The 16,522-nt window shown below is 40.2% G+C and overlaps 1 protein-coding gene and 1 pseudogene across 31 annotated transcripts in view; both read right to left on the bottom strand.

Moving 5' to 3' along the window:
- CNTN4 (contactin 4) overlaps window positions 1–16,522 on the bottom strand; it is a 959,094-nt gene that overhangs the window by 691,218 nt on the left and 251,354 nt on the right. The window lies entirely within an intron of this gene.
- On the bottom strand, window positions 266–5,906 carry HINT2P1 (histidine triad nucleotide binding protein 2 pseudogene 1; annotated as a pseudogene).

Raw genomic sequence — 16,522 nt, 5'->3', positions numbered from 1 at the left:
TATTTTTTTTTTTTTGAGACAGAGTCTCGCTTTGTCACCCAGGCTGGAGCGCAGTGGTGCAATCTCGGCTCACTGCAAGCTCCGCCTCCCGGGTTCAAGTGATTCTCCTGCCTCAGTTTCCCGAGTAGCTGGGACTACAGGCGCCCGCCACCATGCCTGGCTAATTTTTTGTATTTTTAGTGGAGACAGGGTTTCACCATGTTAGCCAGGATGGTCTCGATCTCCTGACCTCATGATCCGCCCACCTCGGCCTCCCAAAGTGCTGGGATTACAGGTGTGAGCCACTGCGTCCAGCCTTATTTTTTAACAAAGAGGAAAATTGTAATTAGAAAAGTATTATCATGAATGAAATGGGCATAAGTTTTTAATCAGAATCCCAGAATTTAGGTCCTGATGTTTAAAATTTTGTGGATGACTTATAAAAAGACTTTACTTATATGAAATTGACAACATTATTTGATGAATTTAGTTTCCTGGATTCTCAGTTAATTAAAACGTGAAAATGTACTTTTTTCTACCTGTATAAATTCACTTTTTGGAAACTGAAATAACCAAGAAATGAAGAGGCTTTCCAAACATTGATAGGCTGCCAGTAGAGAAAGTAGTATAATTGAGAGCTAAGGTTCAAAGAACAAGCTGAAAATATCATGTAATAAAATTACCCAAATTCATTATGGAGTTGCCATGTTGGGTATGGATAAAATATTGTATTGTAACTTCCTCACCCCCAAAGGATAAATAAATGCTTTGAAAAATGTCTACAATGCAAAGTTAAATTGCTCCACTGTTAATATAATTTTGTAGACTAGGAAAACCGTATTTGAGGCAGAACCGAAAACAAAAATAAAACATTTTACCCTCTTTTCATCAAACCCAACATAGACAGACTTCTGTGTTTTGTGTTTACGTTTTGTTTTTTCCTAGCATTGAAATAGGTCACTGTTTTTAAACTCAGCACTATATGTGGATGACTTTTGACCTGTATTTAGGGACAACATGGTATATATATATTTTTTTATTTAAACTCAAGAATCACACTGAGAATTGCAAGATATTCACACAAAAGAGGCAGATGGCAACTTGGAGAAGGGAATCTCACATCTCATCTCAGCCTCACTTTGGCAAGAAGCATCACCAGCAGAACGTAAGATAGAAATATATGTACATTCTATTGTCTCTTTCTCCCACTTTTTCTCTCTTTGCATTTCCCCCAATTCCTTGTTCCTTTATTATTAACTGTGTAGAACAGAGTTTGAAAAGATAAATTTGTGTTCAATGTAATTCAACATCATTAAGATTAATTTGACTGGGCCTGGAAAGTAATGGGAAACATGTTCATTCAGAAATTAGAAAGTCAAGTTGAGGACAAATCATGAAGCATGCTGAATGTCAAGATCAAACTCATTACTCCAGAGAATGGGGCTGACTTTTGCCCACATGAGGGACCAAGAGGAGCTGTGTTTCAGGCAGGTTAAACGTAGGAACTACGCAGGGAGTGCAGATGAAAGAAACTGTCAGGCTGAACCAAGTAAGGTAACTTGGCATTGAGGAGAAGAAAAGAGATCCTGGATACATTATTACCTGTACTCGTTACAAGGGCTTCAAATCACATTACAGTCTTTTCTGTCATCATAAAAAAAAAATTAAACCAAAGAACAACCATAGGAGTTTCCAAAATTGAAAATTTAGAAACGTACTTAAGTTACCAGGTGAAATACACACGAAATATCAAGTATTGTATTGTAACTTCCTTATCCCCAACGGATAAATAAATGCTTTGAAAAATGTCTCCAATACAAAGCCAAATCGCACTATTATTAATATTATCTTGTGGACTATGAAAACAGCATATTTCAGAGAGAACAAAAAGTAAAATAAAGAAATGACAAGACTTGATATTGTCATGGCAATGGCCTAGATTCACCATAGAGAGGTGTCTCTTTTTAACAATAGAATGTTTTCCCTTAACTTTGTTGGAATCACTAACAAGTGCTTTCAATTACCAGGAAACTAGATTCATTGGGCCACATTTGATATAATTTTTTTCCTTTTACTTGTAATTTCCCAACTCAGTGCAATAAAGTATCCATTGACTTTATTTGCTTCATGCGCAAGGCCTGCACTATAACTATTTAACTGTTCTCCGGGGACTCAACTAGATTAAAAGAGATCTAGAATGGCTCTATTGTCAACAAATGCCAGAAGGTTCTTTTGAAATGATCTAACCTCAGCTAACATTTGAGAGGTTTTTTAAAGGAAATTCTATTGTCAACACTTCCAAAGATTCCAGTAGGACCCCTTTCTCCCTGCTGTGCCAACCCTTAGGGGTCCTTGGAAATAGAAAGATTAACAACAAAATAGAATAAAAACAGCAAGGGCAGCAACTATGATGATGACTATGTTGGAACTTTCCAATTTAATGAATTTCTATCTAATACTCTGCTAGGCACCTTATAAATATCGAGACAACAACTCTGAGATAAATATTATTTCCATTTAATAAAAAATGTCTCAGCGAATCAGAGGGTTAAAGTTGTACTGCCAGCTGGTTTCAGCAGTAGAGTTCAAATCTAGCACTGTATGATTTCCAAAGTTAATTTAATTGAAATATACCACGTTGCCCACCCCCAAACCAAGCCCCCAACTAGACAAGGTTAAGGAGTCATATTGAAATATTATAGCACTATATCCAGGCAAAGCTCTAGCTCTCAGATGGGTGAAACATAAAGTTGCCTAGTCTGTTATAAATATTCTATTCTCCAATGATTGTTAAGAAGAGATCATATAACTGGAAATATGCAATAGGCATTATTTATTTTCTATTTGTAGGAAATCACCTACATTAAAGCTATAGATTATATGTTACCTTACTATTTATTGTTTCAGTCTTTGGCAGAATTACTACAGTCCATGCTTTATGAAGCTTGCTATCAATACCACCTTGAAGATTACTTTAAATTATACAGAAAGCCACTTTGAAGAGGATGCTGACCAGTTATTCTCTATCTTCGTGAAAGTCTATAAAAGGAGGAAAGATGTTAGACTTTGGTAATTTTTGTAGACAGTATCAGAGTGCAGTGAAAAGAAAAGAGTTTCCAGAGTCAGGTAAATCTGGATCTAAACTGCAGCTCCCAGGAATTACTAACTGAGACACCCTAGATAGAGATTCTACACATATAAAATATGTGAATAATAATGTCTACCTCACATGGTTGTTATATAGCTTAAAAATGAGACATATAAATGACCTAGCTCCTCCATGTTGCAGAGAGAAAAGTTGCAGTCTTGGGAGTCAGAAAGATTAGTTCTAACAGCATGTTTACCAATTACTAATTGTAGTCTTAACCTACTAGGGCATTTTAGAACTTCTGAGACCTGGTTTTCTAATCTTTATGAAAAACAAAACACCTGCTTTAGAGGAAGAAGAGAGGTGACAGGCTTAGCCTAGTCCTAGCACTTGGTAAACAACCAATGAATGTTACTTCCCTCCCATTACATAGGAGACATTTGAAAAATACTAGTTTATTTTCTTTAGTAACACTGAAAAATATTTTACCACAAGGTGCTAAAAACATGGCTTACTAATGGAGAGGTGCAGTATGAAGATACTTTGACATTTTACCACATAAGAGAATCAGCCAGGCTTTGACTGGTTCAGATATAGATACCTACAATAATTCAATCCAATTAATGGATCATAAGATCCTCCTGTAGAAACCTGGAACATTGTCTCAGCAGATACATGAAAAATAAGAAAATATAAAGAAAAAGGAAAAAAAACAGTCTGTAATGTTCTTCAATTGCTTTATTTAGGCTTTATGTGAGAATCTTATAATAGTTGTTCTCCCTAAAAGTCTTCCCCTGTTTTCATTATTTATGTATGTATTGACTGATTGATTGTTTTTTGGGAGAGAGCAGTTTTATTAACATCACAGCTTCCCTTTTTCTCTTTCCCATCCAAGCACCCAGGTCTAGGGTCCTTGGTCAGTTCAGAGGTTAAAGCTGGAGGCCACTGGAGCTGTCAGCTCCCAAGTAAGTGAATGTGCAGGTCATTTACGGATTGTTCACCCAGCTTCTCATCATTGATCTCAAGTTGGTATCCATCTCCTAGGCCCTCAGCCCTTGCTATCTTCTTACACACAAGGAGTAGGTGTCCAAGAAGCTGCTGTCTTCTTCTTCAGCCTGGTTAATCCGAGGAATGGGCTTCTTAGGAATGACCAGAAAGTGCACAGGAGCCTATGGAGCCACCTCAGGGAACACAAGACACTGCTAGTCCTCATATAGGATGTAGGCTGGGAGGCGATGGTCCAGGATCCCACAGAAGATGGTTGGGGCTACACCCCCAGGAATTGCCCGCTGGGCCTTGGTCATTTCATTCCCACCAGTCACACCTACAGCTCCTCAGATGTGTGCCGCGCAGCCCTGGGGCCGCCATGGCTCTGCAGAGGGCACAACCCAGCTGCCAGCACCACGGCCACCACCATCTTGCCAGAGCTGGGATAAACTCCTTCTCTTGTTGTTAGAATAAAGTTAGAAATCCTTTACATGGAATATAGGGACCCCTGATAGATCTGGGCCCTGCCTCATGCTCAAGCCACTCTCCTTAACTGCTGCACTTAGTCATACTTGGTTCCTTACAGTTTTTTGAATGCACCAAGTTCATGCCTATGCTGGTCCCACTCCCTGGAATGCTTAATCAACCTGGTCAACTCTTACACCTCCTTTTTTCTACTTAAATGGAACTTTTCCTAGACCCCTCCAACTCAGGTCTTTCTATAGTTTCTGTGTTTCTGCTGACCATAAATCATGTATCTATATTAAAATTTTAATATGTATTTAAGTAATTATTTGTTTCACATCTGTCTCAGATCCTGTGGAATTAGAGAGCTAATGAGAACAATGTGTCTATCCTGCTCCCTCACAGATTCGCAGGGCCTATCAATAAGCTCACTGCTCAATGTCTACACACTGAATGAAGTCACTAATGCTACGGCCACACAATAGTACAAGAGAAGTTATTTCTTCAGCTTTTTTAGGTAGAAAATATTTTTATTTTATAAAAGTAAAATTTTTTTATAGCAGCAGAACATGTAATTTCCAGCCTAATAACTCAGCTCTTATTCCAATACAGTTGGATAAACACATTAGGTGATCAATTTCTCCTTTTTAGTGTGGGCTGAATGTATGAGCTAACAATGCCAAAGTCACAGAATGACCCCAGGGTATAGTACAGAGCAGGGTTTCTCAACCTTGACACTTGACATCTTTGGCCAGATGATTCTTTCTTGTACAGGCCATCTTCTGCATTGTGGGATGCTTAGCAGGATACCTGGCAGCTACCCACTGGTTACAAAATAGCACCTATCCTCCAGTGTTGACAACTAAAAATGTCTCCAGACACTACCAAGTATCTCCTGAGGGACAAAATTGCCCCTGGTTGAAAAGCACTGAGTTAGAACAACTGTATTAATACAAATATTCCTTGTGCTCAGTGAGTTGCAAACCAAGGTGGGTGAGGTTAATACAGGTACACACGTTAACTTATGTTCTAGGAAGGAGATACAGAGAAAATGCTATTAAGATTAAAGAAGAATCTCTCCTCCTTTAAGAATTGAGCATCTCATCATGTATTGTCTAATACAATTTATATCATGACCATGATACAAGTCACTTCCTTACTTACTTTATGAACTGCTTAAGAAAAGCAACAATACATTGTGCAATACCCACAAAAGAGCCACAGTGAACATTTATAACAATCAGTATTCTGACTCATTACGCTAGAGGAAATCCTGAACCCCACACCACTCTTTCAGACAGGTAAATGATGAGCATTTACAAATTTTTTAAATCCCAGTGATATGGTAAGGATTTGTGTCCCCACCTAAATCTCATCTTGAATTGTAATCCCCATAATCCCCATGTGTCATGGGAGAGACCAGGTGAAGGTAGCTGAATCATGGGGGTGGTTTTCCCCATGCTGTTCTCCGGATAGTGAGAGAGTTCTCACGAGATCTAATGGTTTTATAAGGGGCTCTTCCCCCTTTACTTGGGAATTCTCCTTCCTGCTTCCCTGTGAAGAAGGTTCCTTGCTTCCCCTTAGCCTACCTGCATGATTTTAAGTTTCCTGAGGCCTCCCCAGCCATGTTGAACTGTGAGTTAATTAAGCCTCTTTCCTTTATAAATTACCCAGTCTCGGGAAGTTCTTTATAGCAGCATGAAAATGGACTAATACAGCCAGTTTTCAGTATTATGCAATATTGTGTTCATATTTCATTGGGCAAACATATTATAGAAGACTGAAATACGGACAAAATTATATTTTTTCAGTATTTCCAGTTCACTGAAAGATGAAATAGAATTGTTTAAGGGGTGGGGGGAGCAAAAGGAAAACCCTAAGGATTCCAGAAACATTTTTAAACTGAACAGTAAAATATTTTTTTTTACTGCTAAAAATAAGGGAATAAAAATTAATCATTAATTTATGCTCAAACTGACCTTCTGTTTAGAAGTTCTCAAACAGAATAGATTTCTCTTGCAATCTCCTACTCTTTACCATCCTGTTCCAATGTCACCTCTCCTGTGACATTTTCCATTTACTTCATGCTTCAAAATAACACAGGTCTAATCACAATAAATAGTCATAATCTGTTCATATGACAGAAAATATGTGAAAGTGCTTATGAGAAGATCTGGCAGATAATGCCTGGTAGTTTTTTCCTTCTAAGTCTGTAGATTAAGACGAATAATCTGTTCATCTGGTTTTCACTCTGCTTTGACTACTACTTCCTTTGAAACAAGGTTGTGCTTAACAGTATACTGCACAATACTTAGAATTTGGTAGAAACTCCAAAATATCTGTTCAGCAAGTGAAGGAATTAGTGAATAAACAATCATATATACGGCCAGGTGCCGTGGCTCTCGACCCTAATCCCAGCACTTTGGGAGGCCGAGGCGGGTGGATCACGAGGTCAGGAGATAGAGACCTTCCTGGCTAAGACGATGAAACCCTGTCTCTACTAAAAATACAAAAAATTAGCAGGGCGTGGTGGTGGGCGCCTGTAGTCCCAACTACTCTGGAGGCTGAGTCAGGAGAATGGCGTGAATTCGGGAGGCGGGGCTTGCAGTGAGCCTAGATCCTGCCACTGCACTCCAGCCTGGGCGACAGAGCGAGATTCTGTCTCAAAAACAAAACAAAACAAAATCATATATACATGATTTCAGTTAAGCACATGCTAGTTTGGATTTGACTCAGTCTTAAGGTAGAAAATGATTTGTTTGAAATCATACCAATAAAAATCCCTCCATGTTTATGTAACTTCTATCAGAAACTACAATTGTTTATAACAGATACAAGACCAATTCCAGATAGGAACTCCTAAGTGAACACTGGAGTATTATACACTATATATATAATGTATGTTGTACATTATACGTTGTAATAATTACATAGCTGTATGCGGTTCTCTCCAATCAGAAAATAAGCCCATCTGTAAAAACTAAGTTGACTCTACTGTAGACTCACATCCAGCTAATTAAATGGTGCAGATGTATCTTTGGGGCATCGAATCTTACAAAGTTACCATTTTATCATATGAGAGGGCTGTCACAGGTTGATTAAAATCTGCAAATAAATATTTACAATACTTCATTTGGAGAAGACAATTGTTTTACTTGGATGAGGCGAAAAGGCTCAGAATGATTAAAATATTTGATATAACTATGACATATTTATAAATCTACCAGTAGCACCTAACCACAACTGGAGGCCAGGAAAAAGTACACTCTGCAGAGGCTCACGTAATTGTGAGAGAGAAAACCTCATTCTCCTGCATACACAGCCTGCACCGGACTAGCCATATTTCTTCATTCATGACATCCTCTGGTATTTTATAAAAGGAACTTAGTCTCCTTGATCAAGTAACTATATTGGAATAAAAAATAATTTCTACAAAACTCCAGCATAGTAGTTCATTATATATAACCAATAAATTGACATTAATAATACCGTTTTAGCTGCATGATGAAAAATGACTATGCACTTTAGTACTGATTTGTGTTGCCATTATTTGCCATTAATTCTCACTTATACCTGCTAATAGGAAAAGCAATGGTGTGGGGAATATGAAATAGCAGATCATCTAAAATCATTTTTAATTGGTTCTGGAAAGCATGTCCTCCTTATTTCTCCCTCAGCAAGTTTACACTATTAATCGTTCAGTTTTGATTACAATTAAAACTTATTCCAGTCACCAAGAGCATTCTAGATGCCAGAGGTAAGTAAAGAGAATTATCATTTTGCTATCGCTTAATCCTAAATATATTAAATGCTTCAGGAAATAAGAAAAGAATATTTGCTGAGTGCTTCCTATGCCAAGCACTGGTTAAGTGCTTTTAAATATGCTGTCATTTCATCCATATTATCCTGCGAGGTAGGTGTTACTGTCTGCATGTTGTAGTTGCAAAAACGGAGGCTCGAAATGGAAAGCTTACTCAAGGTCACAGAAACTACCAAAACATTCCTCAAACTGTTAAGTGGACTGTGATATACATCTTAAATAGATAGAAATATTGTATCCTTTTTTTGTCAAGTATCCTACAGATAAGGCTAGAAGAAATTGTTAGAAATCAAAAGAAATGATTTTGCTGCAGTTGACTTCCCCTCGTCCACACTAAGTAAAATGTCACATGGGGTACACAGGTGTTCCCAATCCACTGATGCTGCTACATACGGTTTATAAAACGAAACGATAAGTGTAGAATTCACATATTACATAAAAGACAGTAGCTGGAGTTATTTTAAAAACTTCTAAATGAAATAGGATGTATTCTGTAGAGTATTATTTTGGAAATTCATTGAGTACCCCAGTATTTAAATTTACAGGCATTAAAGCCTGATACCAAATACATACAGGATTAAGAAGATGATAGCAATTTATAGCAATTAATCAAAGCTAAATTACGTGTTGCAGGATCATATAATTGGAATTGGACACTACTTATTTTTGCATTGAGAAATGACACAGACTGCTCACTGGAAAGGTCCTTAATAAATCTAAGTTTTATTCTCATCAGTCTCCTTTAGCCCAAGTTACTCATCTTGTTGCTGAAAATATACTCTCAGCTGTCAAAATTTTAGTATCAATCAACAATCTCTCTGCAGCCTGGATTTTGCTTTGCAAAAGCTTGGCTGGAAAATAGATAAATCTGTTTCTGTGTATGTTTATGTTTACAATACCTACTAGAGCTGAAAACTAGACAGCGATAGTGAATTAAGGCTACGTATGCAGTGATTTTCAGTAAAGTGAACAAAACAGCATGGAATCGACATAATAAATATTAGTCCCTTAAGTTGGTATAACAGAATCACCAGAATCTAGCTTTTAATTCCAACACTGTTACAAACTATATTGTCCTTAAGCAAGTAACCCACCTAAACTGAAGTTCATTTTGTTCAGGTCTGAAATAAGAAGGTAGACTATTAATTTCTATTCTGAAAAGTACAGTGATTCTGGATATGAAAACAGTATCTTAACGTCATTGCTACTTAAGTACGGTTTGTGGGTCACCAGCATCAGGATCACCTAGGTCTTGGTTAGAAATGCAAAATCTCAGGTACCATACAGGCTTCCTAGGGCAGAATCTGCATTTGTAACAGGATTCCTAAGTGGTCTGTAAGCGCTTTTAAGTTTGAGAAGTACTGGTCTAGTTATCAAGTTGTAATAATAAACAACACCATACCATCTAATCTGCATAAATCTTATTGTGTTGACAATCCTGGAATTTCTAGTAAAAATGTCTAGTGCTAGTCTTTAACAGTATCTAAATGTCTCTTATAAAAATTTATTCTTAGTTAAGAAGCTAGATATTCCAAAGAAGGCCAAAGCCAAAGACAGCATCTATTCCCTTATCCCTCCTTTTTTAAGCTGTAAAGCACTTTGCCTGTAATAAGTTCCTGACCAGAGCTGAAAAAAGACAGCAACTGTGTCAGAGGTGTTTGAACAAGAGCAACTCCATCTTGAATAGGGGCTGGGTAAAATAAGGCTAAGATCTACTGGGCTGCATTCCCAGGAGGTTGGGCATTCTTAGTCACAGGATGAGATAGGAGGTTGGCATAAGATACAGGTCAGAAAGACTTTGCTGATAAAACAGGTTGAAGTAAAGAAGCTGGCTGAAATCCACCAAAACCAAGATAGTGAAGAGAGTGACCTCTGGTTGTCCTCACTGCTCATTATACGCTAATTATAAACCATTAACATACTAAAAGACACTCCCACCAGCGCCATGACAGTTTACAGATGCCATGGCATCAGGAAGTTACCCTATACGGTCTAAAAAGGGGAGGAACTCTCAGTTCCAGGAATTGCCCATCCCTTTACTGGAAAACTCATGAATAATCCACCCCTTGTTTAAAATATAATCAAGAAATAACCATAAAAATGGGAACCCAGCTACACATGCCACTGCTCTGCCTATGGAGTAGCCATTCTCTTATTCCTTTACTTTCTTAATAAAATTGCTTTCACTTTATGGACTCTTCTCGAATTCATTCTTATGTGAGATCCAAGAACTCTCTCTTAGGGTCTTGATTGGGACCCCTTTCCAGTAACAACTGTTCTCCCCACCAATAGCTAGAAATGACGTAAGCAACAGGAAGTGGAAACACCAATACCTGTATTGGATTCTCTTTGATACAAGATTAGCAGTCAGGAAACACTGAGCCAATCAAGGTAAAAAGCACCCAGGCAACAACTGAGGGGAGGTCTGGAAGGCAGGAAGGAAGTGGCTTCCCGGTGTTGTTATATACTAACCAGGGATAAACCCTGCCCCTGCTACAATTTGAATTAGATTACAATTGAGCATTGATGGCAATTTTCTGAATGTATTTTAAAAATCTTTGGGTTCTCTGCCAAGAATGCAACTCTTTATCTTAGGAGGTCCTGGTTTTTCCTTGTACTAAAAACTGTTTGGAGCAGGAGATTTTTCTCACTGTGGAATCTCTGGTTAGGATACAGAGACCCAATCCAGTGGGTCATGTTAGTCTAGAGCTAGGATGGCCAGTATCGACTGAATACATACTAAGGTAGAAAGAAGAAACTGCAAAGATGAAAGAAAATACCTTCAGGGGTTGGAGGAGGGCGCAGGAGGGGATTGGGGAAGAAGAGAGAATGCTAAGTGCCACAGGGTCCCTGAAATAGGTCCCAGAAATACAGAAAGGTAACCTTTGCTCCTGACCTGAACAAAGCTGTACTTCGTAGCTGTAAGTTCTATGAGATTCCCTGTATCCTTCAGGTAAACTAAATTCTTGTTTGGACTAAATTAAGAGGGTTTCTGTTTCTGACAACTGAGATTTCTTGGCCAAGACATTGATCAAATGTGTGCAATGACATTATATTTATGCTCCATATTTTTACACAGACCAAAAGTTCCTTGAGATCAACATTGTAATTTTAGCTCATTGATTGACTCGCTAGGTGATCTTGAGCAAAATATCTCTAGTTCTTTACTATTCTGTATTACTGTCCTTAAACACGAACAAAATTCTATCACTATGCTTTGACACAGGTCAGAAGTTAGGAGAAATGCTGAAGCTACTTGAGAAATAGGCATACTGCGCATAATTCAAGGATGTTACTAAGCAGATGCTAGCTTGGGGGCATTCACAGCAGTTCTGGCAACTTTAAATAGCTAATACAGCTTCTGAGGCTGCCCAGCTACTGACACAACAGGGCTTATCCACTGGGAGGCTATGACTCACTTATTCTCCCAACTCCTGGATGTAATCTGACACAATGTATCCCCAAGACACTTCCTGCTGCTAATGCTCCTATTTCTGTCTTGGAGCCTTTTAATTTGTATTTTCCTCAAATGGTTTATGCCTGCTTGTCAAGTGGGATTCTCACCTCACTTAGAACTCCTGGCTGTTTGATAAGGAAGAGTAGGTGGCAGGGAGAGCTGGCATGCCACAGAAACCCGTGTAAGCAATCAACAGCTTACTTACAGCCAAGTGTGATTTTTTTTTTCTGCAATACCAGCTGAAAGCACTACAGCACAACTGCCTGCTGCTAATATCAGACTCTCATACACAAAGTCCCTATTAGTACTTCACTGCAAATAGTTGCTCTGGTATCACTCTGGTGGGTGCATTTCTTGAAGCCTACTTATGTAACTCCTTTCACTTAAGGTTCAAAATATTCAGGTTTTTCTTTTCTGATGGAGTCTCGCTCTTGCCACCCAGGCTGCAGTGCAGTGGTGCGATCTGGGCTCACGGTAACCTCCGCCTCCCGGGTTCAAGTGATTCTCCTGCCTCAGCCTCCTGAGTAGCTGGGATTACAGGCACCTGCCACCACACCTGGCTAATTTTTCCACTTTTAGTAGAGATGGGGTTTCGCCACATTGGCCAGCCTGGTATTGAACTCCTGACCTCAGGTGATCCGCCTGCCTCGGCCTCCCAAAGTGCTGGGATTACAGGCATGAGCCACCATGCCCAGCCCAAAATACAGTTCTTATTCAACTGTAGCAATATGGAAGTGATTATGAATTCTGACCCTGGAGTCAAGATAGAACTGAATGGGAATCCCATCTCTGCTACAGATTTACACTGAGATATTGGGAAGCTTATGTAACCACTCTGAACTTACGTGTTTTTAATCAACAAGATGAAGAGATGTTATGAGATGTTGGAACCTACTTTAGGTTACGTCATAAGAAAATGTGTTTATAAGGATTAGGAAAGTACCTAGTATTTCATATGTGCTCTAAATATATAAGCTGTCATCATTGTCATCAAGTGAGGACTCCTTTATGTTTTTTTTGTTTGTTTGTTTTGTTTTTGTTTTTTTTGAGACGGAGTCTCGCTCTGTCGCCCAGGCTGGAGTGCGGTGGCGCCATCTTGGCTCACTGCAAGCTCCGCCTCCCGGGTTCCCGCCATTCTCCTGCCTCAGCCTCCCGAGTAGCTGGGACCACAGGCGCCCGCCACCACACCCGGCTAATTTTGTTTTTGTGTTTTTAGTAGAGACGGTGTGTCCAGAATTGGTGGGTTCTTGGTCTCGCTGACTTCAAGAATGAAGCTGCAGACCCTCACGGTGAGTGTTACAGTTCTTAAAAGATGGTGTGTCCGGAGTTGTTCATTCCTCCCGTCCAGAGTTGCTCATTCCTCCCGGTGGGTTCGTGGTCTCGCTGGCCTCAGGAGTGAAACTGCAGACCTTCCCGGTGACTGTTACAGCTCTTAAGGACATAGCTCTTAAGGGCAGTGCAGACCCAAAGAGTGAGCAGCGGCAAGATTTATTGCAAAGAGCAAAAGAACAAAGCTTCCACAATGTGGAAGGGGACCAGACCCGGTTGCCACTGCAGGGATCGGGCAGCCTGCTTTTATTCCCTTATCTGACCCCACCCACATCCTGATGATTGGTCCATTTTATAGAGAGTTGATTGGTCTGTTTTGATAGGGTGCTGATTGGTGTGTTTACAATCCCTGAGCTAGACACAGAGTGCTGATTGGTGCATTTACAGTCCTCTAGCTAGACATAAAAGTTCTCCCAGTCCCCACCAGATATCCTAGATACACAGTGCTGATTGGTGCATCCACAAAACCCGAGCTAGACACAGTGCTGATTGGTACATATACAATCCTCCGGCTAGACATAAAAGTTCTCCCAGTCCCCATAGATTAGCTAGACACAGAGCACTGATTGGCACGTTTACAAACCTTGAGCTAGACAGAGTGCTGATTGGTGCATTCACAATCCTTTAGCTAGACACAAAAGTTCTCCAAGTCTCCACTAGATTAGCTAGACACAGAGCACTGATTGGTGCATTTACAAACCTTCAGCTAGACACAGAGTGCTGACTGGTGCATATACAATCCTCCAGCTAGACATAAAAGTTCTCCAAGTCCCCATCAAAAACTCAGCAGCCCAGCTGGCTTCGCCTAGTAGATCCCCTGCTGCCCACCAGTCCCGCACCGTGCACCTGCACTCCTCAGCCCTTGGGCGGTTGATGGGACTGGGTGCCACAGAGCAGGGGGTGGCACCTGTCGGAGAGGCTCCAGCCATGCCGGAGCCCACCGTGGGGGAGCTCGGGCTTGGCGGGCTGCAGGTCCTGAGCCCTGCACCAAGGGGAGGCAGCAGAGGCCCGGTGAGAATTTGAGCACAGCACTGGCGGGCTGGCACTGCTGGGGAACCTGGCATCCCCTCCGCCCGTTGGCCCAGGTGCTAAGCCTCTCGCTGCCAGGGGCTGGCTGTGCCGGCCTGCCACTCTGAGTGTGGGGCCCGTGGAGCCTGCACCTACCCGGAACTCCAGCTGGCCTGCGAGCGCTGCGCAGCCCTGGTTCCCACCCGAGCCTTTCCCTCCACACCTCCCCACAAGCAGAGGGAGCCGGTTCCGGCCTCGGCCAGCCCAGAGAGGGGCTCCCACAGTGCAGCGGCAGGCTGAAGTGTTCCTCAAGTGCGGCCAGAGTGGACGCCTTGGCCTGAGGAGGTGCCCACAGTGAGCGAGGGCTGCTAGCACATTGTCACCTCTCAACGGCGTTTCACGGTGTTAGCCAGGATGGTCTCAATCTCCTGACCTCATGATCCACCCACCTGGGCCTCCCAAAGTGCTGGGATTACAGGCATGAGCAACCGCACCAGACCTGTTTGTTTTTATTAGTATGAATTGATAAATCATAATTGTATACACTTATGAGTAAAATGTGATGTTTTGATATATGTAAAAATCAAAAATGATTAAACTGAGCTAATTAACATATCTATCACCTCACCTCTATTTTGTGGTGAGACATTTGAAATTTACTCTTAGGTAAATATACATTATTATTGATTATAGTCACCTTGCTATGCAGTAGATCTCAAAACCTATTCCTCTTGTCTATACATGAAACTTTGTACCTTTTGACCAACAATCCCCCATTCCCTCCCCCTCTCAACCCCCAACCTCAGTAACCATCATTTTACTACTTCTGTGAGTTCAGTTTTTTTAGATTTCATAAACAGTAGTCCCCTCTTATCTATGGTTTGCTTTCTGGAGTTTGTTGATGCAGTCAACCACATTCCAAAAATATTAAATGGGAAATTCCAGAAATAAAGAATTCATAAGTTTTAAATTCTACACCATTCCGAGTAGCGTGAAGAAATCACGCTCTGTCCTACTCCACGGGGAATGTATCTACCTCAGATAAAGGGGGATAAGTGAGATCATACATATTTACTTTCTGTTTTCAAAGCATGAGAACTCTGTTCTCTTTTTCTTTCAAATACAACTAAGTATCATCCACTTCTTTAATGCGAGTAAGGTCACCCTTGTCCCATCTTTGAGGAAGAAAAAAAAATTGTGGAAAACTACGTTCTCTCCTTCTGCATGCTGAACATCAAGACTTTGGTTTTGTGTGAATCTGTGCCACTTTTAACCAAACATTTCTGCGCCTAAGTTTCCTGCACTATAAAATGAGATTTGGTCTGGATGTTATCTGGGGTACATTTTACTTATGGTGTTCTATGAGTTCACTCTTTCTAGTTTGACTATTAGATGGTCTCACATTCATGGCAGAAGTTGTACGATATAGTTCTCCAATTATGGAGAACTATAACTATGACTTCTCTAAGACATATTTAGACCCTGACCTTTGCTATAAACAGAACTTGAGCTTCAGCAGTCAATACGGTTGAAGCAAACTCAATATAGGAACTTTTACAAATACAGAATCACTAAAACAAGGAACCAGTACATTGTACAGAAATTAAGGTATATATTTTGGGCCATTTTCATTGCAGACTATATCATGCGTTGGGAGGCTGCATTAATCAGAATTATTTAGGCTGTGCTAGAGTAATCCAGGAATGTAGCAAATGGCTTCAAACATGAAAGTTTTCTCTCATGCATATTTCTTACTCATGCATAATCTGGTACCATTTGCCTGCTTTGCTCCCCATTTTCCTTTGTTACATTTGCCTTGCTTAAATTTTCGTTGGTTAGTGAGTCATTTAGATAGTTCCTGATTAAATTCAATGTATAAGCATCAATTAAATATTGACTGAGAGCTATTCATTTCTCGCTACTTCATGAACAAAAACTTAATGAAGAGACATTACAAGGTATTTAGGCCCTCAGTGAATAACAGCTTTAGAAGTGCCTAGAAAAAAGAACCACTCCTAGAATTCTACTCTATTTTTTTCTTTATTTAAGTATACTAATTATGTATTTATCTTACACTAGTACAGAGCACTTTACAGCAATTTCCTGGCCCTTTTGTTCAGAATTATTAGCATCAGGACAAATCTGTCCTTGTGTACTTTTTGATGCTCCTTTTGTTTCACTGCCACCAACCACTTGGTGGAAGCTTTTATTTTCCTGTTATTTTTCTCCCTGTGGAGTAAAGATGAGGTTAAGAAGATTATTCAGCAGCTGCGTCCAATCACCTGCTCTCCTAATCCTTGTTTTTTACACTCTTAAAGAACACTGCTGGGGATACCTTAGGTTCTGTCATTACCAACATGGTTAATCCTGTACTTCCCTAAGACTTGGC

Source organism: Homo sapiens, chromosome 3 (assembly GCF_000001405.40).
Source record: "Homo sapiens chromosome 3, GRCh38.p14 Primary Assembly".
Classification (NCBI taxonomy): Eukaryota; Metazoa; Chordata; class Mammalia; order Primates; family Hominidae; genus Homo; species Homo sapiens.
The sequence above is the reverse complement of the archived record's forward strand: the minus strand, read 5'-3'. Positions and strand labels throughout refer to the sequence as shown.